This window comes from Homo sapiens, chromosome 9, assembly GCF_000001405.40.
Source record: "Homo sapiens chromosome 9, GRCh38.p14 Primary Assembly".
Lineage (NCBI taxonomy): Eukaryota > Metazoa > Chordata > Mammalia > Primates > Hominidae > Homo > Homo sapiens.
Window position 1 is genome coordinate 79480622 of NC_000009.12, and position 26635 is coordinate 79507256.

Genomic DNA, 26635 nt, shown 5'->3' on the forward strand with positions numbered 1-26635 from the left:
TACTGCTGACCCTGGAAGTCACTGTACTCTCACGACTTTATCTACAAGGGCATGAAGATTGTTTCTTCAAAACTCTTAGTCACGGCAAATACTTTCCACGTGTGTACTGCCATCAACATTGTTGCCTGTTTGGTAGCTTTTGATGGAATGAAACTGACAAGTTTCTGCCTCACACCTGACTTGAGAAAGGCCCTTAGATACTTACAATGGAAATTGTTTGGAGTGTTGCAGTTAGATACAAATCATGCTCTAACTTTCCAAGAAGCTTTGTTACAACATGCAAAACAAACAAAAGAAAGGTAGCAAAACTCTTCAAGCAGTTAAAATTGTTACGCAAAAGCAAAAGCAAGTACAGAGGGTAATAGAATTCATTGAACTGTAAAACCTAAAAACAAAAGAACTGAATTCAGCTAATCACAAATTTTGTCAATTGTTGATTTTTTGTTTTTATTCTCTCTTACTAAAAATGCACTACAGCAGGCGTTTTTCCTTATACATGTATACATTTCCTCCTCAGTTGGACTAAGAATAAAGTATTGTGCAAACAGTAGGTGCATGAAAATTCTAGTCCACTAACTGACTTTAAAAGCTGTGGGATTCTACAAATTGACCCATTAAGCAGCTGTTCCCACCTTTGTCCTATGAACACTAAAATGCACGGTTAGACCTCAAATTGGTTTGGTAGTGACAATCTTGTCTGGTGTTAGATCCAGGATTCCAAAATTCTAGCCACATAACAGGAAGCTAGGAACATAGGGGCAGAGATGCCTGAAGATTTGACCTTCCATGCTATTTTATAAAGGAACGTTTATAGCTTGTTTCCTTGAGGTTGCTGGGGGGAAAAAAAGCAGTGATTGTGTGCTGTAAACCTTTAGGAGAAAACAAACTTAACAGTATGCTTTGGTGTAATTCAATTTAGTTGAATGAGCAATTTCCATTTTGGAGTTTAGCTTTCAGCTGACATGTTCTGTGACTTTGGCCAAGTCACTTTAATTCATCCACTGTCGTATCTATGAAAAGGGGGAAATAATGCTTCACTGGAAATTTTCCCTAGAGTTCCAGAAGATGAGAATTCTGGCCTTGCTATCTATAAGCGCTCAGAAGACTTAAGCTGGGAGGTTCTTGTGCATTCCTGGCATAATGGCAGCAGGGAAAAAAGTCATTCTGAAGAGAGGCACAGCTGCAGAGAGAAGCTTTCTCAGCACAAAGCAAGAGTCTGGCCTCTTGAGTCTCTGAAACACTCAAATTCACTGAACGCAGACGACGAGGAGGAGGACTATATATACTTACATATTGATCTGCATGCTGGGGTTTCAAATGTGATTCATTATGTACCATTTCCTTTACCCTAATCCATCTGCTAAGGTTTTCTTCTCCTGTGCAGAAGGAATTTGAAAAAGAAATGTGACTTTAACTGAGAAGAGAGTAACAGCATGACATAGTTAGCACCACCTGCACTAAGAAAGATTCAAGATGGTATTTGTCAAATATTGGAAGATGTGTGTCTGCTAGCTGAGGGATAACGGGATGTTTTCAGAGACTGTTTTAAAGTTCTATGGCCAAGAAAAAAGAAGCTGCATTTGCTTCTCATAATAGTGGTTATCATTTCTCTTGTGAAATGTTTATCTACTGATGATCTCACTATGGCTTCCTTTGGATTGTCTTCTTGTTTTATTTTCTCTCACTAGAAAAAGCAAACATCTTGGTTCCTGTCTCTTTCTATTATAAGTACTAAGCATGTGGAAAGTTAAAACAAAGGCTGCACATTTCCAAGGAACTGGATAAGTACAGTCAAGTGGATCCTAATCGAATACCACAGTGTGGGCATTTGGTACCACATGCTTGTTGATTTGGAAAGAAGTGGGAAGAAGAGATGGATAAAGATGAGAAGGAGGCAGAGTAAAGAGAAAAGAAAATTAAGTAAACACTGAAGAGCATAGCCCCTTAGATGGGAGAGAATAAAACACTACTCAGCTCTGTTTATAGCCTGTCGACTATGCTTTATGTATACATAATTCCTAAATTTCGTATGTTAAAATCAGCTAATCTTCAATCAGGAATAAGGAAAATCAATGTATCCTACCTATATGGGTATTTAAGTTTTTAGTCTACTGATTTGTTTATTATCCACACATATTGAAATGTATTGACATCACAAAATTGTATTAGATACAGAGTCTGCTCTATAGCTAAGGTTGGAGTGCAGTGGCTCAATCATAGTTCACTGCAGCCTCAAACTCCCAAGCTAAAGCGATCTTCCTGCCTCATCTCCAGAGTAACCAGGACAACAGGTGCATGCCATCACACCCTGATAATTTATTTTATTTTATTTTATTTTATTTATTTATTTATTTGGTAGAGACAAACTCTTGCTACGTTGCCTATGGTGGTCTCAAACTCCTGGTCTCAAGTGATCCTCCTGCCTTGGCCTCCCAAAGCACTGTGATTGCAAGCATGAGCCACTGTGCCCAGCCCCAAGGTATTTATTACAGTTTTATTTTTTTCTTTTATTCCTGAGACAAAAGTAAAATAAAATAATAAAATTATGTTACTAAAAATTTGGAAAATAGAGAAAATGAGAACAAAATGTGTTCATAACATAACCCATGATGACCATACAACTGTTGATGTTGGCCTTTCACCTTTTTGTTCCTTCTCTTTTTACCTCGCATTTTTACATAACTGCAATTATTCAAATATATATATATATATACAAATTTTCTGTTTTACCCATTCTCCATAAGATTATATTTGGATCATTCTTATGTCATTATATGTTTCAAGAATAAAATTTAATGACTGCATATTATTTCTGAGTGGATTATAATTTAAGTAACCGGGCACTAAATCCAAAAAATATTAATATACATTACTTCCAAAACCGGAGTCCAAAAGATTGGAATACACCTACCTGGAAAAAGTTAATGATGTTACTTTATAACAACTCCTCTATACTATTATGTACTGTGAAGCTCCAGGAGAGAAGCTTTCTTAGTGTGTTCTTTTCTCAAACTTAATTAAACATGGAACCATTTTCACCATGACATTATACAACATAGTGCTCACCACAGCACACTTTGGAAAACAATGATATGACCATTTCCTATTGTTTAATAGCTAGGTTATAAGAAATTTTTCACTATAATAAATAATAAAGAATTTAACATCATATACAAAAAGACTTTTCTATTTAGAATTATATTCTGGGAATCATTTCTCAGAAGTTAAAAAAAAGTGAAAATGTTTGTATATTATTAAAGTCTTTGATACATATCACCAAATTTGCTTCCTTCCTTCAACATCCTTCTGGCAAATATCATTTCCAAATATTAAGTAAGGTCTTTGATGCATATCACCAAATTTGCTTCCTTCCTTCAACATCCTTCTGGCAAATATCATTTCCAAAAGTGAATACGGTATTATGGACAATCACTACTGCTCTTGGATTTGAGTATGAATGAGAAACAAACCAAGGTACGATCAGCAATGTATTTCCACACTATACTAGGCACACACACTGCTGGTCTCCAGATGTATACGCCCTGTAAGATTTATGGACTTTATGAGTTTAAAAGTAAACTACATACATCTGACTATTGTATACTCAGATTATAGGCTAAGATTAGTTTTTACAAATCATAAAGAGGCTGAAGATTGTGGTAGTGTGTTTTTGAGATACCTAGAAAGGAGCTGACACATGGTGTATGCTCAGTAAATGTTTACTGCATAAAGGAATGATTACATTCATGAATGCATACCCACGAAATGTTTCCTTTTGATCAGTTATCTTAAGATAGCGCCCCTTTCACCCATTACCTCCTCACCATGGAGCACTTAGCCAATGCTTAAAACCACAGATGATCCAGGCTCACCATGGAACTTCAATATGGCTGACTATGGTCAGCCATATTCATTGTTGAGACATTTGAAAACGCTTATTCAAGGCATGATGGGAGCAGTGGGCCTTGGGAACTACCCGCCCCTTGCTACCTATATGACCTCTCTGGCAAATCTTAGACCTCTCTGGGATTCCATTACTTCATAAAGAAAATAATGATGATAAGCCCCTTCTTGGGTGCCTAGAAGCTCAAAGAGATATAAAAGCACTTCGAAAAGTTAATATCTCACTGAAAATATAACATATTATTATTTTTACCAACTCCACAGTACTCATCCTAAACAGTGGGGCAGAGAATGGAATGGAGCATTAGGGGTTTGTGGATTAAAGAGAAAAGGCCTGAAGATAACACCGATGTTTTTCCTGGAAGAACAAGTCTTCCCCTTACCGAGGTTTCCAGATTCTTTAGAAGTTGCCAGAAGCAGCAGACTTCAGAGTAATTTGCTGATTTAAAATATACATATTATTGACAACGGGGACTACATAGTATTTCTTTTATCCTAGACTTTTTTTTTATTAGGTTTTAATCAACATGACCTTGTGAAATACTTTGAACCCTGATTAAAAAGCAACATAAATAAAGGTGAGGGAGAAATGAAAGCAGTGCAGCAGACCTAAATAATAAATTAATGAAAGCACAGTGATAATTTTATGTAATTATAGTAGACACTTAACATTCATAAGGGGTACAGACCTTTGGAATCCCCAAATTTGTGACTTCAGAAATAATAGTATAAGCATTCCTATTGAGAGGCATACATTTCTTGGGCACAACGTTGTAACAATTTAACTACAGTATTATTTTAAACTTTGAAGTTTAGATCTTGCTCAAGTAATGATTTTGGCAGTGACCAGCAAATTTTTCTGAACAGTTTCATGGATCTAATTTCCTTGTTTCCACATCAAGTTTATGATGGTCTTATCTATATTATTTACTTAAGTCACTGCCAAATAGATATTATGCTCATTTATTTTCCCAAAACTCATAGTTACTGTCCAAGAGCCCATTATTCTTTTGACTTATTTTTTTTTATTTTTATTTTTTTGAGATGGAGTCTCGCACTGTCTCCTGGCCTGGAATGCAATGGCCCGATCTTGGCTCACTGCAACTTCTGCCTCCTGGGTTCAAGTGATTCTCCTGCCTCAGCCTCCTGAGTAGCTGGAATTACAGGCGCACACCACCATGCCCAGATAATTATTTGTATTTTTAGTAGAGACAGGGTTTCACTATGTTGGCCAGGCTGGTCTTGAACTCCTGACATCATGATCCACCTGCCTCGGCCTCCCAAAGTGCTGGGATTACACGCATGAGCCACCACACCCAGCTCATTCTTTATTTTTTACAGCTCTATTAAGGTATAATTGACATAAAAAACTGCATGTTTTTAATGTATGTAATTTGATGAGTTTGAATATATGCAAATACATATGATCATATCAACACAACCAAGGTAATAAACATATCCATCACCACCAAAAGTTTCCTTCTGTGTGGGGATGGGAGGAGAGGTGAAAACACGTAATACAAGATCGATCCTCAAAAAAGTCTTAAGTGCACAACACCATATTGTCAATTATAGGCACTATTTTGTACAGCGGATCTCCAGAACTTCATCTTGTGTAACTGTAAGATAAAGTTACATTGAACAACCACTCCTCATTTCCTTTGCTCTTGTCAGCTGGCAACTACCATTCTATTTTCTGCTTCTGTACATTTGAATATTTTGGATACCTCATACAAATTGCAAAGAGCCCATTATTTCTATATTTTTCCTTTTCTTTCTCTTTCTTTCTTTCTTTCTTCCTTCCTTCCATCTTCCTTCCTTCCTTTGTCTCCTTCCTTTCCTCCTCCCTCTTCCTTCCTTCCCTCCCTCCCTCTTTCTTTCCTTCCCTCTTTCCTTCCTTTCTTCTTTCTTTCCTTCTCTCTTTTCTTTTCTTTTCATCTTTTGTCCTTTCTTTCCTTCCTTTCTTCCTTCTTCCCACCTTCCTTTCCAATACAGCCCTGAGAACTATAAGATTGCTGGCATGTACTCCAGAAATATTTCCTGAATGTTTTCTTACATTTCTTCACATTCATATCAGAACCAAGAGTTGGCCTTTTAGGGAGGACAATTAATTTTCCTCAAAGAAATAAAGTGGGTTTGTTTGGGGTTTTTTACTCATTTCATGAAAGTTACTGTATGCTATTCTCACCCCTGATGTTACCTTCTATGTGGAAAACTCCAACAGAATAACACACTTTTGGCCTCTCCCTTTTACTGTATGACAGTGGTTCTCAATCAGGGGAGATTTTGCCTTAGCAATGTCTGGAAACAGTTGTCAGCACTGGGGGACAGCATCTAATGAGTAGAGGCCAGGGATGCTCCTATACATCTTGCAATACACAGGGCAGCCCCCACAACAAAGAATAATCTGACCTCAAATGTCAATACTGCTGAGTATTAAAAATCCTGACCTAGAGAACTAGAATAAAATTAAGCTTAGTAGTATTAAGGACTTTTATACCAGTCTCTTGTTCTTTCTTTTTCTCTTTGACATTTGCCTGCCTGCATCACATAGCATCTGTTTGCCGTATTCCATGGGGTAAGTTTACAGGGAGGACCTGCAGTTTGAGGGTGTAAGTTCAATTCAGAGGAGTGATAGCAAGCTCATACATCTGGGCTCCCTATGCCCTATTAGTTTAAAAAGTTTAAAAAGGACATTTTTAATCTCTCTTTGCTTAAGTCCTGCATCTCTCTCTCTCAGTTCATTCTGGATGTAGGCAGGAAAGGTGACTATTTGGGGGGCTTCCTCAAGCTCCCAAATTATATCTAATAATGATAACATGAGATACAAATGCCTAATGGTCAGCTGGCTGTACTGACTACCTAAGCCTCTTCCTTCTTCACACCAGCTCTGTTAATGAACAGCTAAAATGGTCACAGCAGTGAATGCTGAAGGTCTGATAGTTAGGAAGATTGAGGTCCTACAGAGGCAGGGAAACTGAAGAGCTAATTAATTTAAAAATGTAAGAATGACAATGAATAAAAACAAAATATATACACATGGTACCCTTTTGGGACATGCCTACTAGTGTACCTGTCCCCAACTTAAAGTGAACATAGTCTTTCTCTCCAGAATACATCTTTTCACAATGAAACCTACATTTTCCTTAGGGAACCATGTTCTTATACTCTTGGTCTATGTGAGCCAACTCCATACCTGGCTTCATGGGTAAGCATGAGATAGAGAAACAGCTCATGACAGTCTTGACTCTTCCGGGCCTCCATGAATAGATCAGCAGTGGACCGAAGCCCAGATCAGAACCAAACCAATACTAGAATTTTGCGAGAAAAAAACTGGAGAGGGACACTTTTTATTTCTGCTGGACTTGGGCTATGAGTATGATAGCCCGAGCTGCCATAAACAGGATGCATGAAATAGAAATCAACATTCAGAATGTTTTACAAACCAAGAGATGAAGAGAAAGAGTTCAGATTCTAATGGTATCATGGCTGAGATTCAATCATGGCAAAATCTCGGATTTCTCAGTCACATGAACCAATGAATTTCACTACCATCACCCTTTAAAAAAAATTACATCAGATAGAGTCTTGAGTAATAGGGACACCAACTGTAGACTCACCATCTCAATCTGCCCCTAAATAAAATAATTCCTCCAATTCTAGATATTTATACAGTGCTCATTGTCTTCCCAAATTATATACTCTTCATTTCCCCTCTTGATTTCACTTGTTCAGATGCTTTGGTTGCATTTGAAAACATTTTCTATTTGTCAGTGAATATTCTGGCAGCCATGGGTAAGACGATGCCACAAACAGGGTCATGGGTGAAACAGCATACAAAGATGTGATCTTGGCATCGTACCTGATCAGACTCTTGGAAACACCCACCAAATGCTATTCTACAATAATGACTAAAATAACAACAAAACCAATTTTAAAAGCCCATACCGCTAATTAGCATTTTACTGCTTTCTCCTCTTATGCTCTGTGCACTCTATATTGTCGCAAGTACTTCTCCCACCAACCCTCTAATGCAGTCTAAATTCTCTACTTTATAGAGGAGGAATCTGAAACAGAGAGAGGTTTGACAACTTACCAGAGGTTATGAAGTTAGAAGATGGTGTCAGTCCTGAAAATTAGATCAGACTCCAGACCCTGTGGCCTTAATCATTGTTCTCTTTTACTTCTCAAGAGTACTCACTAGTGAGTTCCTTTGCAAGGTTTCACAGCAGTCTGATGGAAATCAATGGCAGGGATCCTTACTCATCTTTCCCAGGACATTCAGTCATAAAGTGATTCCTTTATGGCATCTACAGGGAACAATGTTTAAAATGTTTACCTGTGAATACAGGTAAAAATATGTATCAGGAGATGTGACGCCCATGTAAAAGATGCCAACCCAGATGGTTCTTGTAATTATTGGTCTAACCTTCATCGATCGCTTACCTCTCTGAGGTTCAGTTTCCCCATGGCAAATAGAAGAGGCTGTAGTAGAGTGTAATGACAATGGTAGCCATTGACTGAGGGCCTACTATGGGCTAGGCATTCTACTGGCCCTTCACATCCATCGGCTCTAAGCAATTGCTAATGCCTTTTTATATCTTAACCTTCTGCCATTATAGGGCCTCTGTGAAATAAAATGTTTCTGAAAGGGACATCGGATAATACAAAAATACAACAGGTTGAAAAGAGTTTGATTAAAAACTCTGAATAATACACCCTCCCGAAAGTTAATTTTTATTTTGTTCTTCACAGGGCAGCATTGTTTGGACTTGGCAAGCGTGCACACTGCAGCCATTATCCTGGTTCTGGGGCAGCAACCACCAGCTTTGGTGTGACTAAGAAACAGAATGCTTAGAGCTGAGCTCTTGGTGGCCTGCTTATCCACTTGGCTGGGTCCTGCTGTCCTGCTGACACCCAATGGACACGTGAGCAGCCAGAACATTTTGTGAATATGCAGGAGTTTCCTCCAAGGACCACAAAAGGCCTCTATGACTCAGAGAAAATTAGGTTCCTCAACTGTAAACTGCCCTTTGGGGGAAAGGAAGAGAAATTCCAGAGGAGGGGAGGAAAAAAAGATAAAATTCATTTCAACTACTCCTCCCAATTACGATTAAAACAACGAAGACATTACATGCCAATTGCACGTTTTAGGTACTGGCCTGCCTTGGAGTCATCTTCAAACCGGTTTCCTCTGTATGTATTTATTTTTCTTTAAGTATCCTGAGAAGTGCACATTATTATCTTCTGTGGACATCTTTAGTAAACAGGGAGCTTAGGCATGTTTGCATTGTTCTGGCTTGTTGCAGTTGTTGACCTGATTGGATCATGGACTGCTTTGATCACTTAAAAATGAAAGCAGTTTTTACTGCAAATTGTGCTGGGATGATTTGAAAACCAAACAAACCAAAAGGACATGTTCTATTTATTCTTTATTACTCACACATTTAAAGAACACACAGACCTTCCTCCCCTCAATCCCCAAAATATGAATGTGTTTAGAAGATACATTTAAAACCACCTTTTCTTTTAGCCTTGCAGGCAAAAGCCTCTGGAGGGTGCTTCGTAAAAAGGGTCTACAGCTTGGCAATTTCGATTTGGAAAAGTACACTTTAAATTATTTCTCCCCACTCTCACCGAAGTCCTGTTTTACAGGCTTGGGAGTTTCCTTTTGAACACTAACATTTATTGGCCATATAACCCTGGACACAATAGCTAAACCTTAAGTTTCATTTTCTTCATCTATAAAATGGGGATAACTGTTCAAAACCTTATTGAAAGGATGAAATATTTTAAAGCACATTAGGCATTCAAAACAAATGTATACTGCTTTTTCTTATGGTGTTATTTTTTCCATTTACAAATGAGAAAGTTGAATCTCAAATTAAATGACTTGTCCAACTACTCACAGCACACAGGTAGTAGAATCTAGAAACAAATTCTATTCTTGTGCCTTAAAATTCACTTCTTCCTCTTTTCTTCATATAATAGAAACATCTACGTAAAGACTTTGTACTACTGCATGCACACTGCTTCAAGATTAGTCCCTTGTCACCCCCTATTAGATAGTCAATACAAAGTCCCTTGTATTAAGACATTTGAAAACTGCCATTTTCTCTATATTATTTTTATTAAAATGTTCCCTAATTAAAATATACTATTTTTAAAATGAATTGAGAGGCAATAGTTTTAAAACTACTAGTGGCATAATGATGTATCTGTTCCTGTAGTTGCCTTTTCTTGTCTTTTGATCAACAGCGGTGATATCCTTATCTTCTCAGGGCTGCAGTCCTCAGGTTATTAAAAGGGAACAAACACCCTAACAGGCTTGTACCTTTGATTTTCTGCCATACTCTCCAAGTTAATGAGTAAGAGGGTCAAGGGAATTTATTCCTGTGCTTTAGGAAATCTACAAACAATATTAAAAAAGAAGTTGGTGGCAGATTAAGAAACTTTTAATAACCTTGTGCAAACCTTCCAGACACTCATTACTCAGCTTCAGTTAGCACATATAGGTGATTGAAATATGCAATTTCAAAATATGCTGTGGGAGTTAGAAGAGAGCCAGCAGCTGACAGAGAAGTAGTTTGGGCAAGAAAAAAGGAGGCTTCGGGACCAAGGAGTTCAGTGAGAAAGTCAGCTCTTTTATTTTGCTATATTTGAACGAAAATAACCCATAAGAAGGAATGTTGAAAGCTTTGCAGGGTCTTGCATGCATTCCATTTTGAAACCCGCTAATGAAAGACCACTGATTGATTTATCTGAGGCATATATATTTTCATTAAAAGCCAACACTGTATTCTCTCTTCTCTCTCTTGCTCTTGTTTTCTTAAGACACTTTTTTCCCAAGCAAATAAGAAGCTTCCTAACTGCTTTACCCGTTCCAGTCTAAGAAATGGAGATTCCAAGATATTTTCCTATTTATCTTTGAACAGGTGTTTATCTTCCTAATGCTATGTTTCTCAGACCCAACTGTAAATTTGCACATAGATTGAGATTATCAACTAGATTTCAACTCTAACCTTAGCTCTTTCTACTTCTGAAAACTTGTGCCAGCCATATTATGGTTTAAGGCAGGTTGTGTTGAGTATTATATCCACATTTGACAGAACAATGCCTAAGGCTAAGAAAAACTAAGTGACTTATCCAAAGTCACATAGCTACTGGTAGAGTTTAGAACATTTGACTGAGATCAAGCTATAATAGATCCCAAGTCCTTGGGCTTCATCCTACCATTCATTTCCTCCCTGTAAAAAAATGATAATAATCATCTCTGCTCTTCCTTCTCACAGAATTTTTTGTAAGAATCAAATAAACTAGTATTTGTGAAAATGTTTTATACACCCAATTTAGAAAGGAACAAGTATGGATGTTTCAGGGAGAATACAGAAAGGATAATTAGAGTGAAGGAAGCCACAGGGTCAAGAGCATCCAGGAAAGAGAGATTGTGTTATAGTTTGGATGTAGTTTGACCCTGCCAAAACTCATACTGAAATTTGATCTTTAAGGTGGCAGCATTCGGGGATGGGGCCTAGTGGGAAGTGTTTGAGCCAGGAGGTAGATCCCTAATGAATTGACTAATGCCCTCCACTGGGGTGAATGAATTCTTGTTCTCACTGGAATGGATTGGTTGTTAAAAAGAATCTGGCTTCCTCAGTTTCTCTCTCTTGCTTCCTCCCTCACCATATGATCTCTTTGCACTTGTCTACTCCCCCTTGGCTTTCTGCCATGAGTGGAAGCAGCATGAGGTCTTCACCAGAAGGTAAGCAGATGCTATTGCCATGCCCTTTGATCTTCCCAGTCTGCAGAACTGTGAGCTAAATAAACCTCTTTTTCTTATACGTTACCTAGTCTCATGTATTCTGTTTTAGCAACACAAAACTAAGACAGAATGTCATACCTAAAATACAGTTGACATTATACCGACTTGAATGGGAATTCATGTGGTAGAGCTGGGGTTGGTAAACTTTTTCTGTAAAGGGCCAGAGGGTAAATATTTCAGGCTTTACAGCCCATATGTTCTGTCTCAAACACTCAACTCTGCATGAAAGCAGCCATAGACAGTATGTAAATAAATGAGCAAGGCTAGATTCCAATAAAACTTTATTTATGGACACTGACATTTAGATTTCATATCTTTTTTCATGTATCATAAAACATTATACTTCTTTTGATTTTTATTTCATTTAAAAATGTAAAAACTATCTTTAACTCACAGGGCCTCCATAAACAGGCAGTGAGTCAGATTGGGCCCACATGGACATAGTTCAAGATTCCTGCTATAGGGCAATGAAAAATGATACGTTGTTGACTCATTTGGGTAACATTTGATAGGCAATACAATGTCACTAAAGTTCATTAGCAAGAAGATTATAAGTTTGGAGTGCTTAGGGCTGCAAGGAACCAAGAAAGCTGATTAACATCAGCTATGATGATAAGAGCATGTATATTATGGTTAACAAGAAATCTGAATGTAGAAATTTGACAGTCCATTCAGAAGTTTAACAATGTCCTCAGTGATCCAGACTCTTTTCATCCTTTTGTGCCTCCATTCTCAGCATTTGGCTTTCCATATTTATGCTTAATGCTGCACTGTCCAATGATTGCTGCCACAGCTTCAAGCACAATGTCCTCACAATAGCATCCCCAGCATAAAAGAAGGGTAAGATTGTTCACCCAAAAGCTCTTCCCCTATATCAGTCTTTTTTTTCAGGAAGCAAATGCTTTCCCAGAAGCCCCACCACAGACTACTCCTTTGCTAAAGTTGGGCCAGGTGACCATATCTTTGCATTGCAAAGGAAAATAAATTTCTCATGGTTGGCTTACGCCAATCATCATTTATCACATTGGGCCAAACAAAATTAGGATTCCATTAGCAAGGAAGAAGTCAAGCAATGGCTGTTGGGTAGGCCACTGACAGGACCTGCTTCAATGGAAGAAGAAATTTTTATGGGAAATTGAGCTAGAAATCAAGCTGAGGTAGGATGAAATTTTTGGATTCCCACAAGCTCTATCTTACCACATAATATGGAATTATTAATTAATGCTTCTTTCTTATAAAAGGACAAAAAAAATGCTGATGGCCAGGCCTATATCTTATTTATTAGGGTGCTCTCTATCAGGCATATGTTTGCAATTCTTTTGGCATTGAGAATACTTGACAAATTGAAATGTTAAGGCTTGCAGGCAGAGCTAAATAAATAAATCTTCCAGAAAAAAAAAAAAAAAAAAGAGTGTCTGAATTAAAGAGAAAGAAGAAGAAATGGAATAAGAAAGATGAATGTTCATGAATTGAAGCATGTCTGACTTTATTTTCCCTGTGGGAAAAACTGCAGTCTTCCTGGGAGCAATGCCTGATCCTTGCTCATGCCTCCTACTATTGTTATATTCTCGGTGGAATGGAAAAGACTGGATTCAGCCTTTCTGTGTCACAGTGAATCAGCCAAAAAAAGAAGAAGAAAAGTTATCAGTATTCTACTACAAAATGGCTAAGAAAAAAAAATCTGAATGTATTCAAAAAAATTTCACTAAAAATGAAAAGACAGACTCATAGCATGGGTATTTCATCAGTAACAATTGGGAGCTAGATTGTCAACTACATAAAATTAGATGTTTCATCTTCTGTTCTTTTGTTTTAGGAGAAAAATGTAAGAATGTGTTATAGTCTCTTCTAATTTGTAAACTGGTAGCCAGGCACTCTGAGAAGATGGCAACACCCTAGTGATTAAGGTAAGCAAATCTTTGTTACTAGAAAAATCAAGAGAAATATGACTGCCTTTGTGTCTAATTTTTGAGATAATATATTGTGAGTTCGATGTTGTCATGAAATAAAATGTACAGCAAAAGTCAATCTGTTACATCATTAATAATATGCTTATGATTTGTCACACTGCATGGTAAAAAGACAAAGACAGTAAATAGTTTATTTGCATGGATATAATTATTATTCATTTTATGTAGGAAAGCCGAGATTTTATAGTGTGTATTTTTCTTTTTTTTTTTGTTGTTTTTCTTTTTTGTTTTTTTTTCTTTTATTATTATAATTTAAGTTTTAGGGTACATGTGCACATTGTGCAGGTTAGTTACATATGTATACATGTGCCATGCTGGTGCGCTGCACCCACTAACTCGTCGTCTAGCATTAGGTATATCTCCCAATGCCATCCCTCCCCCCTCCCCCCACCCCACAACAGTCCCCAGAGTGTGATGTTTCCCTTCCTGTGTCCATGTGATCTTATTGTTCAATTCCCACATATGAGTGAGAATATGCGGTGTTTGGTTTTTTGTTCTTGTGATAGTTTACTGAGAATGATGATTTCCAATTTCATCCATGTCCCTACAAAGGACATGAACTCATCATTTTTTATGGCTGCATAGTATTCAATGGTGTATATGTGCCGTATTTTCTTAATCCAGTCTATCATTGTTGGACATTTGGGTTGGTTCCAAGTCTTTGCTATTGTGAATAGTGCCACAATAAACATATGTGTGCATGTGTCTTTATAGCAGCATGATTTATAGTCCTTTGGGTATATACCCAGTAATGGGATGGCTGGGTCAAATGGTATTTCTAGCTCTAGATCCCTGAGGAATTGCCACACTGTCTTCCACAATGGTTGAACTAGTTTACAGTCCCACCAACAGTGTAAAAGTGTTCCTATTTCTCCACATCCTCTCCAGCATCTGTTGTTTCCTGACTTTTTAATGACTGCCATTCTAACTGGTGTGAGATGGTATCTCATTGTGGTTTTGATTTGTATTTCTCTGATGGCCAGTGATGATGAGCATTTTTTTAATGTGTTTTTTGGCTGCATAAATGTCTTCTTTTGAGAAGTGTCTGTTCATGTCCTTTGCCCACTTTTTGAAGGGGTTGTTTGTTTTTTTCTTGTAAATTTGTTTGAGTTCATTGTAGATTCTGGATATTAGCCCTTTGTCAGATGAGTAGGTTGCGAAAATTTTCTCCCATTCTGTAGGTTGCCTGTTCACTCTGATGGTAGTTTCTTTTGCTGTACAGAAGCTCTTTAGTTTAATTAGATCCCATTTGTCAATTTTGTCTTTTGTTGCCATTGCTTTTGGTGTTTTAGACATGAAGTCCTTGCCCATGCCTATGTCCCGAATGGTATTGCCTAGGTTTTCTTCTAGGGTTTTTATGGTTTTAGGTCTAATGTTTAAGTCTTTAATCCACCTTGAATTGATTTTTGTATAAGGTGTAAGGAAGGGATCCAGTTTCAGCTTTCTACATATGGCTAGCCAGTTTTCCCAGCACCATTTATTAAATAGGGAATCCTTTCCCCATTGCTTGTTTTTCTCAGGTTTGTCAAAGATCAGATAGTTGTAGATATGTGGCGTTATTTCTGAGGGCTCTGTTCTGTTCCATTGATCTATATCTCTGTTTTGGTACCAGTACCATGCTGTTTTGGTTACTGTAGCCTTGTAGTATAGTTTGAAGTCAGGTAGTGTGATGCCTCCAGCTTTGTTCCTTTGGCTTAGGATTGCCTTGGCGATGTGGGCTCTTTTTTGGTTCCATATGAACTTTAAAGTAGTTTTTTCCAATTCTGTGAAGAAAGGCATTGGTAGCTTGATGGGGATGGCATTGAATCTGTAAATTACCTTGGGCAGTATGGCCATTTTCACGATATTGATTCTTCCTACCCATGAGCATGGAATGTTCTTCCATTTGTTTGTATCCTCTTTTATTTCATTGAGCAGTGGTTTGTAGTTCTCCTTGAAGAGGTCCTTCACATCCCTTGTAAGTTGGATTCCTAGGTATTTTATTCTCTTTGAAGCAATTGTGAATGGGAGTTCACTCATGATTTGGCTCTCTGTTTGTCTGCTGTTGGTGTATAAGAATGCTTGTGATTTTTGCACATTGATTTTGTATCCTGAGACTTTGCTGAAGTTGCTTATCAGCTTAAGGAGATTTTGGGCTGAGACAATGGGGTTTTCTAGATATACAATCATGTCGTCTGCAAACAGGGACAATTTGACTTCCTCTTTTCCAAACTGAATACCCTTTATTTCCTTCTCCTGCCTAATTGCCCTGGCCAGAACTTCCAACACTATGTTGACTAGGAGTGGTGAGAGAGGGCATCCCTGTCTTGTGCCAGTTTTCACAGGGAATGCTTCCAGTTTTTGCCCATTCAGTATGATATTGGCTGTGAGTTTGTCATAGATAGCTCTTATTATTTTGAAATACGTCCCATCAATACCTAATTTATTGAGAGTTTTTAGCATGAAGGGTTGTTGAATTTTGTCAAAGGCCTTTTCTGCATCTATTGACATAATCATGTGGTCTTTGTCTTTGGCTCTGTTTATATGCTGGATTACATTTATTGATTTGCGTATGTTGAACCAGCCTTGCATCCCAGGGATGAAGCCCACTTGATCATGGTGGATAAGCTTTTTGATGTGCTGCTGGATTCGTTTTGCCAGTATTTTATTGAGGATTTTTGCATCAATGTTCATCAAGGATATTGGTCTAAAATTCTTTTTTTTTTTGTTGTGTCTCTGCCAGGCTTTGGTATCAGAATGATGCTGGCCTCATAAAATGAGTTAGGGAGGATTCCCTCTTTTTCTATTGATTGGAATAGTTTCAGAAGGAATGGTACCAGTTCCTCCTTGTACCTCTGGTAGAATTTGACTGTGAATCCATCTGGTCCTGGACTCTTTTTGGTTGGTAAGCTATTGATTATTGCCACAATTTCAGATCCTGTTATTGGTCTATTCAGAGATTCAACTTCTTCCTTGTTTAGTCTTGGGAGAGTGTATGTGTCGAGGAATTTATCCATTTCTTCTAGATTTTCTAGTTTATTTGCATAGAGGTGTTTGTAGTATTCTCTGATGGTAGTTTGTATTTCTGTGGGATCGGTGGTGATATCCCCTTTATCATTTTTTATTGCATCTATTTGATTCTTCTCTCTTTTTTTCTTTATTAGTCTTGCTAGCGGTCTATCTATTTTGTTGATCCTTTCAAAAAACCAGCTCCTGGATTCATTAATTTTTTGAAGGGTTTTTTGTGTCTCTATTTCCTTCAGTTCTGCTCTGATTTTAGTTATTTCTTGCCTTCTGCTAGCTTTTGAATGTGTTTGCTCTTGCTTTTCTAGTTCTTGTAATTGTGATGTTAGGGTGTCAATTTTGGATCTTTCCTGCTTTCTCTTGTGGGAATTTAGTGCTATAAATTTCCCTCTACACACTGCTTTGAATGCGTCCCAGAGATTCTGGTATGTTGTGTCTTTGTTCTCATTGGTTTCAAAGAACATCTTTATTTCTGCCTTCATTTCGTTATGTAGCCAGTAGTCATTCAGGAGCAGGTTGTTCAGTTTCCATGTAGTTGAGCGGTTTTGAGTGAGATTCTTAATCCTGAGTTCTAGTTTGATTGCACTGTGGTCTGAGAGATAGTTTGTTATAATTTCTGTTCTTTTACATTTGCTGAGGAGAGCTTTACTTCCAACTATGTGGTCAATTTTGGAATAGGTGTGGTGTGGTGCTGAAAAAAATGTATATTCTGTTGATTTGGGGTGGAGAGTTCTGTAGATGTCTATTAGGTCTGCTTGGTGCAGAGCTGAGTTCACTTCCTGGGTATCCTTGTTGACTTTCTGTCTCGTTGATCTGTCTAATGTTGACAGTGGGGTGTTAAAGTCTCCCATTATTAATGTGTGGGAGTCTAAGTCTCTTTGTAGGTCACTCAGGACTTGCTTTATGAATCTGGGTGCTCCTGTATTGGGTGCATATATATTTAGGATAGTTAGCTCTTCTTGTTGAATTGATCCCTTTACCATTATGTAATGGCCTTCTTTGTCTCTTTTGATCTTTGTTGGTTTAAAGTCTGTTTTATCAGAGACTAGGATTGCAACCCCTGCCTTTTTTTGTTTTCCATTTGCTTGGTAGATCTTCCTCCATCCTTTTATTTTGAGCCTATGTGTGTCTCTGCACGTGAGATGGGTTTCCTGAATACAGCACACTGATGGGTCTTGACTCTTTATCCCATTTGCCAGTCTGTGTCTTTTAATTGGAGCATTTAGTCCATTTACATTTAAAGTTAATATTGTTATGTGTGAATTTGATCCTGTCATGATGATGTTAGCTGGTTATTTTGCTCGTTAGTTGATGCAGTTTCTTCCTAGTCTTGATGGTCTTTACATTTTGGCATGATTTTGCAGCGGCTGGTACTGGTTGTTCCTTTCCATGTTTAGTGCTTCCTTCAGGAGCTCTTTTAGGGCAGGCCTGGTGGTGACAAAATCTCTCAGCATTTGCTTGTCTGTAAAGGATTTTATTTCTCCTTCACTTATGAAGCTTAGTTTGGCTGGATATGAAATTCTGGGTTGAAAATTCTTTTCTTTAAGAATGTTGAACATTGGCCCCCACTCTCTTCTGGCTTGTAGGGTTTCTGCCAAGAGATCCACTGTTAGTCTGATGGGCTTCCCTTTGAGGGTAACCCGACCTTTCTCTCTGGCTGCCCTTAACATTTTTTCCTTCATTTCAACTTTGGTGAATCTGACAATTATGTGTCTTGGAGTTGTTCTTCTCGAGGAGTATCTTTGTGGCATTCTCTGTATTTCCTGAATCTGAATGTTTGCCTGCCTTGCTAGATTGGGGAAGTTCTCCTGGATAATATCCTGCAGAGTGTTTTCCAACTTGGTTCCATTCTCCCCGTTACTTTCAGGTACACCAATCAGACGTGGATTTGGTCTTTTCACATAGTCCCATATTTCTTGGAGGCTTTGCTCATTTCTTTTTATTCTTTTTTCTCTAAACTTCCCTTCTCGCTTCATTTCATTCATTTCATCTTCCATTGCTGATACCCTTTCTTCCAGCTGATAGCATCGGCTCCTGAGGCTTCTGCATTCTTCACATAGTTCTCGAGCCTTGGTTTTCAGCTCCATCAGCTCCTTTAAGCACTTCTCTGTATTGGTTATTCTAGTTATACATTCTTCTAAATTTTTTTCAAAGTTTTCAACTTCTTTGCCTTTGGTTTGAATGTCCTCCCATAGCTCAGAGTAATTTGATCGTCTGAAGCCTTCTTCTCTCAGCTCGTCAAAGTCGTTCTCCATCCAGCTTTGTTCCGTTGCTGGTGAGGAACTGCGTTCCTTTGGAGGAGGAGAGGCGCTCTGCTTTTTAGAGTTTCCAGTTTTTCTGTTCTGTTTTTTCCCCATCTTTGTGGTTTTTATCTACTTTTGGTCTTTGATGATGGTGATGTACAGATGGGTTTTTGGTGTGGATGTCCTTTCTGTTTGTTAGTTTTCCTTCTAACAGACAGGACCCTCAGCTGCAGGTCTGTTGGAGTACCCTGCCGTGTGAGGTGTCAGTGTGCCCCTGCTGGGGGGTGCCTCCCAGTTAGGCTGCTCGGGGGTCAGCGGTCAGGGACCCACTTGAGGAGGCAGTCTGCCCGTTCTCAGATCTCCCGCTGCGTACCGGGAGAACCACTGCTCTCTTCAAAGCTGTCAGACAGGGACATTTAAGTCTGCAGAGGTTACTGCTGTCTTTTTGTTTGTCTGTGCCCTGCCCCCAGAGGTGGAGCCTACAGAGGCAGGCAGGCCTCCTTGAGCTGTGGTGGGCTCCACCCAGTTCGAGCTTCCAGGCTGCTTTGTTTACCTAATCAAGGCTGGGCAATGGCGGGCGCCCCTCCCCCAGCCTTGCTGCCGCCTTGCAGTTTGATCTCAGACTGCTGTGCTAGCAATCAGGAGACTCCGTGGGCGTAGGACCCTCCGAGCCAGGTGCGGGATATAATCTCGTGGTGCGCCGTTTTTTAAGCCCGTCAGAAAAGCACAGTATTCGGGTGGGAGTGACCAGATTTTCCAGGTGCCGTCCGTCACCCCTTTCTTTGACTAGGAAAGGGAACTCCCTGACCCCTTGGGCTTCCCGAGTGAGGCAATGCCTCACCCTGCTTCGGCTCGCGCACGGTGTGCGCACCCACTGACCTGCGCCCACTGTCTGGCACTCTTTAATGAGATGAACCGGGTACCTCGGATGGAAATGCAGAAATCACCCATCTTCTGCGTCCCTCACGCTGGGAGCTGTAGACCGGAGCTGTTCCTGTTCGGCCATCTTGGCTCCTCCTAATGTGTACTTTTCTTTATGAGTTTACCATTATCTGTAACCATGTCAATATATATTACCTCCCCTAACATTTTTTATAGCTTTTCTCCATTACATATAAAGACAATGTACATTCACAGTGCAATTCATACCAAGAGTCACATGCTCCTTTACAGACATATTTCTGAGGTCTGCTTCCTTCATAGCCAGAGTTTCCTAAGCACTTTACCCTCTTAGCCTCAGGTCTAATGCCCCTGTTTCAGTAACCCCTCACATTCCTGATTACTTCTTCTACTCTTCCCGCTCCTACCATCTCCCATTACTCTAGACAGGGATGACAAAGGAGTTTCATCTAGAATGCCAACTCCAGGTGAATTGTACTGGTTGCTTGGGGAGCTGTATTTAGAAAAACTGTGAGAATGTTACTATGGGCCTGGGATGTAAAGAGAGCTGGGTATCTGTCTTTCCTCATTTTAGTGGTTCTTAGAAGTTATTGTTTGATCCTCCCTATACTTGAGGAGAACCAGCCCTCAGTATCATAGCCACTGAAGAATTTAAGACTGGAAGAAGTAAGGGGCATGATACCACAGTGGCCTGGGCCACAGGAACATCCTTTCAGAGAGAAAAGGGGGAGGGTGGGTAGAGAAAGAGAGAGAGAGAAGATGGCCAAAGAATGGACTGAAAGCAAGCATGGACAGAAAGAATAGACACCAAAAGAATGAACTTGAGAAAGAAAGAAGCAGATAAAAGTTAAGAGTGAGAACCATTTAAGCAGGAAGAACTGTTTTCAGGCATAACGTCTTAGGCCTGCAAAATCCATTCTCTACGTTAATGATCTTTATGGGAACAGCTGTTAAACAAAGTAGGTCTAAGAAAAAAAATCTAGTTACTGCATTGTTCTCTTTAATGTGCATGAGAACAGGCCTACACACACACATGCATGCACACACACACACACACACAAACACGCACAGGTGTACACACACACTCACCAAAAGATGCACACAGACACACACAGTCTTATCTTTTTATACCATTCAAGTTGCTTCCGCTTGGATCTTCATGCTTCTTAGAAGTGTCATCCTTCTCTTGGATTCTCCTGTCACCATGGAGAAATTGGTTGTGCAGACCCAGAGTCAAAAGCTTTGGCTGTTTTCTTATCAGTATGCTGCATTTGCCTAGAGGCTTATTTTCATTTCAGGTGTGCTTTTCTTGCCAGAAAAGCAGAGTGGGTGGCTGATTACAAATAGAGGCCTTAGGCGGTGGTAATTGAAGACTGGTAAAACCACACAGTTTAGAGGAAATATTGCTTCTGACTAAGTGGAGAGAGACTAGAAATTTTCAAGTGAAAATAGGAAGTGCAGACAATTGTCAATAACTCCAAACAACAAATGTTAAAGCATCTGGGGAAAACTATCTGCAAGATTGCATTCAAGTTAAACTTCTGCTCTTGAAATCAATCCTACATATTGCTAATATTGATTGTGTTGCCCTCACCTAGAAATTGACCTGAGGTCATTTTAAAGGCCATCCTCACTATTGCTGCTCCCCTCCCACTCCCACTAAACCCTACTCCCCACCTTGTTCACCCATCCCTGGGATTCTCTAAACAAACTGAAAACTTTTATTCCCCAGTTCAGTTCACATGGATGGACTGCCTGTCATGTGCTAGGTCTAGGGGTTTTGGTAGATGAATTGGGCTTGCCTTAAGTTTACAATCTGGAAAGTTAGAGAAAAAGAAACTAATAAATCAGAAAGAAAAGTAACATCCTTGCTTAAATTGGCACTGAGGTGTTTATTTCTTTGGTTATATCTCACAGTTGTCCACAAAAGGACCTCAGTGATGGGGAGAATAAACACATATGGTTGACACTCTAGGGACAAAGCCCAAAATGGTTCATCACAATCACAAAATATTTTTAGAAGTATCTTGCCTTATATTTGTAGTTTTCAACCAACCATGACTTTTCCACCCAACTACAGGGGACATTTGGCAGTGTCTGGAGACATTTTTGGTTGTTACAACTGGAATTGCGCATCTGGGGGTTGAGGCCAGGGTTGCTGTTAAACATTGGGCAATGCACAGGACACTTCCCCGCAGCAAAGAATTACCCAGCCCAAAATGTCAAGTGCTGAAATTGAGAAACCCTGCTTTATATTAAAATACGTGCACATTTTGTATTCCACTCAATGTTCAGTATAATATTATTTACACATTTTTTTCTTTGAGTAAAATTGACACTGCAAGAAAATTGGTCATGTTTATCTGGTGCCCTAGCCTGAGGTCTGGTACATGGCCATGAACCATGCTTTGCAAAAGATGGCCCTATCCCTGTCTTTCAATTGATTCCCTCATTTTACAGCTTAGCTCTGACCTTCTCTGGAAGACATCCCAGTGTCTCACAGTTGATGGTTGTCTGATTTAGCAAATAAAAATACTGTTTCCTGGTTAAATCTCAATTTCAGAAAATTGATAAATAATTTTTTAGCATAAGTATATCCCATGCAAAGTTTAGGATAATTAAAATTTGGAATTTGAACTTGGGATTTGAGTTTCAGATAAACAGCAAATAATTTTTGAAATACCTGTGTGTCCCCTGAAACATTTGGGATCTAGTGATACAAAAAAGTATTTACTTTTTAATTCTGAAATTTGACTTTAACTGGGTATCCTGTGTTTTATCTGGCAATCCCACTGCAGTTGTGCCTGTTGTCTCCTCTCAATATCTATGATATTATGAGGACTATTCCTCCCTCTATACTCTCAGTGACTACATATAGACCTATTTGCAAGCATGTTTTAACCCTCTGAGTAAAATCTACGTTTCATAGTTTTTGTTCTTTTTGCCTGGAAAAATGCCCTGAACATTGCAGGAACTCAAAAAATATTTTGTGGATGATGCATCATGTCATTGTAATGCTACAAGGGGAAACTAGAAACTTTATTAGGTATCATTGTATAATAGGTGATCAAAAAACTAGGATTTTAGTAGTGAGTATTGATTAGGGCAGCTTGGCTATGAGTACCAGAGACCAAAAAAAAAAAAAAATCATTTCTAAAACAAGACAGAAGTTTGTCTCTCTCTTGTGTAAAAGCAGGCTGGAGATCAACTGGGAAAAACTGGTGTGGAGTCTCCATAGCCAGAGGCCCAGGCTTTTTCCAGCTTCTCACTCTACCATTCCTAGGGTGTGGCCTTCACACTCCAAATGACTGCTGGAGATCCAGCCCTCATATCTATATTCCATAAACCAAAAGGGTTTATGGAAGAAAAGATCATCCCTCACGTTAAAAATGATTTCCTCTACTTGTGTATCACTGACCAGAACACAGATATATGGTCGCACACAGCTGCAAGGGTGGCTGACAAATGTGGTCTTTATTTCAGGGGAGAAGAGTGCTCAGCTAAATGTGAGGTTAATATGAGAGTAAAGTGGAAAATGGATATTTGATGGGGGAAAGGTACAGACTATACAGATCTCTTCTGGCTTCAGTTGCTAACTCTCTTACCACTTTTAAAAGTATATCCTTTATTCTGAAAATAACTGGGAAACAGAAACTAGAAGATTCCCGATCCCCATCACAGGTATTCAAAGCTTTGTGGTTTTCAAATGCCACCTCTTTCACCCAGCATTCTCAGATTCTTCCTATTTCTTATGTGCCCCTTATGAACTATCCAAGCACTCAATGTGCCTCTCCTGGGTGTGCACCATTTTTTTTTTTACCTCACATCGTAGTTTTCTGTGTGAGTTCACATTTCCCCCACTAGATTGTAGACATCTTGAGGACAGAGTCAGTTTTAAAATCATGTCTCTGGCCTCTTCCCTCCCTAGTGTGTCTTACATACACTAGGGGTTTAATATTTGTTCCATAGGTGAACAACTCTCTCGTACCTGAGGGAGAGAAGTGACAACCTGTCATGTGCCCATAGGCATGCAAGGGAGATGTCCACGTTATCTTTAGTGGTTGCCAAGATAATGTGCTGTGGAGATTATTTCATTTTGTTAGGCAGATTTTGTAAAAATGAAAAATGAGTTTGTTTCAAGACTACAGAGAGCTTTTCAATGTAGCTGATGTAAGAGTCTCAAGATTTGGGATAAAATCCTACCCAAACCTGCTCATGAAAGCTGCACGTCTGCAAAACTCGCCATTACCGAATGACATGGTGCAGAAAGGCTGTTAGGAAAGGCTAATGCCTATACATCTGGTGTAATGAAGAAATGGGAGGGTTAGGCACGGGAAACCACAGCTCCAACAGAAGGAGCTGAAAAGATATAGGTAAGATTAGTGACATATGTAAAGGCCCAGATACTGTGTGACAAAGTCTACCCAGCTGAATAGGCCGAAGCCAGAAGTAATAGGAAGGCCATGTTCTCCCTAATCCTCCAAGATAAGCTGTTCCATCCAGAATTATCAGCCAACAATCTTCAGGGTATCCGGCTGAAAATGAAGTTTCAGACGGCTTTGATTCCTCATCCATAAATGAGAAAGTGCCTGAAGGATCTTTATTTATTCTCGCTCCCACCGAAACACTCTTCAAAAAGTGCCAATATACTAGCAACAGATGCATAAAGCCTCCCTTCCTTTGATTGACAGAACATGATATAAAGCAACCCTCACTTGACATTTCAGTTTCATAAGGCTCCTAGCAGGGGGAAGAAAAAAGAACCTTGAAAAAAAATCCACTAGAAAATAAAGAGGATTTATGCAAACTCACGTGAATGTTTTCAGAATCAAATTTAACAGTTTTATTTCTCTGCAGCCCTTATTCGATATTTTGGGTTGCAGATGAATCATTTCAGCAGGAGTAATTTCAGCCATTTGCTTATTAATGTTTATGGCTTATTAAAACAAAGTATTTACATATTAATGTTTGTTGATTACTGGATGTTTAAGTTGCTTAGTTGTAAATGATTGAGATATTCACTCTAGGGAGGAGATATTTAATTTGGTGTTGTGTGTGCTTTAATTTAGATTTCAAAATCAGTAATTGAATGAGAAAATGTCATCTACACCTATGCATTTCAGTTTTGAAAGGTCATCCCGTGGTTAGTTTATACATTTTCAAATTCTTGTTACATTGCTCAATAAGATATTAAAGTCAAGTTCACCCTATACATATTTCTTTCAATTGACATATAAATGTTCTGTTTGAAATAATAAGTAAATTTAATGCCTACATATTTCTTATGGAAGAAAGGTTGGAAAATCTTCTAGACGAGCCCGAGAGAAAGACACTAATTCTTTTTGTTTTATCAAAGGAATTTATTTTTATATTTAATTGCTCTCTGACTTTTTTTGCAGGTTGTCTGAAGTTGGAGTTCTTCATGCTCTGTAGAAACTGTAGTGTATAGAATTCCAGCATTTTCCTGACAAACATCAAAGCTACTTTGGATCCAGGGTTGACTTCGCATCCCTCAAAGAGCATTTCAAATGGCAATCTTCAGACTGCAAAGAAAACTTGGGGTGAGTAAGAGCAAAAGAAAGAATATACCAAACTTGACAAACCTTGGCTTGATAAAAGTCAGTTTTATTTCGAACACAATTTGCTTGTCTCCTCTTGTTTTCTCCACTTTCTAACCAGCTAAACAGTAGTGAGCAAACAAGTGTTGCCAATAACCGTATCATTTTTTCCCATGGTACCAGTGGTATTAGTGATGGAGTGGCTTAATATATTGGTTATTTCACCAGAAGGAAGTGGAAACTTGAGGAAAGGAAAGCAGAGTAACGATGTTCCTAGCAATGGTACTTTTGCTGGCACAGAGATACTCTCAGAGAAGCCAGAAATGAGTGATTGAATTGCTCCCTCCCTTTCTTGATTGGATGAGAGATTGCTGTAATGCTTCTGGATTTTAACCAACTACCAAGAAGCTCTAAGGACTCTTTAATGAAGAGTAATCTTCACCTTTGAAGAGAAAGCCTTGTCTGAATTCCTATAGTAGAAAGAGGAGGGATTAGGCTGCAAAGATTGAAAAGACAGTATATAGAAACAAGTATTTACATAAATTTAGGGAAATTCATTTTACTTCTTTGTGTCTCCGCTTGCTTTCTCCAGTTGTGACTTCTCTTCACTCTTAGTAGGAGACAGAATTCTACTCCCCCTTTCACTTAGGATTGGAATATTCTATCTTTGATACAATAATTCAAATGAGACATGCAAAATTAATGAAAGAGCATAGATGGGGTGGAGTCTCAGGAGTATACAATTAGGCCCTAGAAAAAAAATTAACTAAATTTAGTGCATATGCTCAACTGTGGACACTGAATCAGAAATAGATTGTTAAATTTTAAAGCATACATGAAACTGGCTCCTGAGAAGTTCAAGGCTTGGCTACCAAAGACATAGATGGGAAATGGATTTTGGCTAACAATCATTTATTTATTTATTTATTTATTTATTTATTTATTCGAGACAGTGTCTCACTCCGTTGCCCAGGCTGGAGTGCAATGGCGCGATCTCGGCTCAGTGCAACCTCCACCAACCAGGTTCAAGCAATTCTCCTGCCTCAGCCTGCTCAGAAGCTGGGATTATAGGCACGTGCCACCACACCTGGCTAACTTTTGTATTTTTAGTAGAGACAGGGTTTTGCCATGTTGGCCAGGCTGTTCTCGAACTCCTGACCTCAGGTGATCTGCCTGCCTCGGCCTCCCAAAGTGCTGGGATTACAGGTGTGAGCCACCGCACCCAGCCCAGTCATT

At 38.9% G+C, this 26635-nt stretch overlaps 1 annotated feature.

The window, feature by feature from the left end:
• Positions 19670–20247: an enhancer, noted in NCBI's record as "NANOG-H3K27ac-H3K4me1 hESC enhancer chr9:82115206-82115783 (GRCh37/hg19 assembly coordinates)". NCBI's record gives its function as "activates a minimal SCP1, AML or CMV promoter by ChIP-STARR-seq in primed H9 embryonic stem cells {active_cell/tissue: H9 hESC(primed)}" and the evidence as "EXISTENCE:reporter gene assay evidence [ECO:0000049][PMID:30033119]".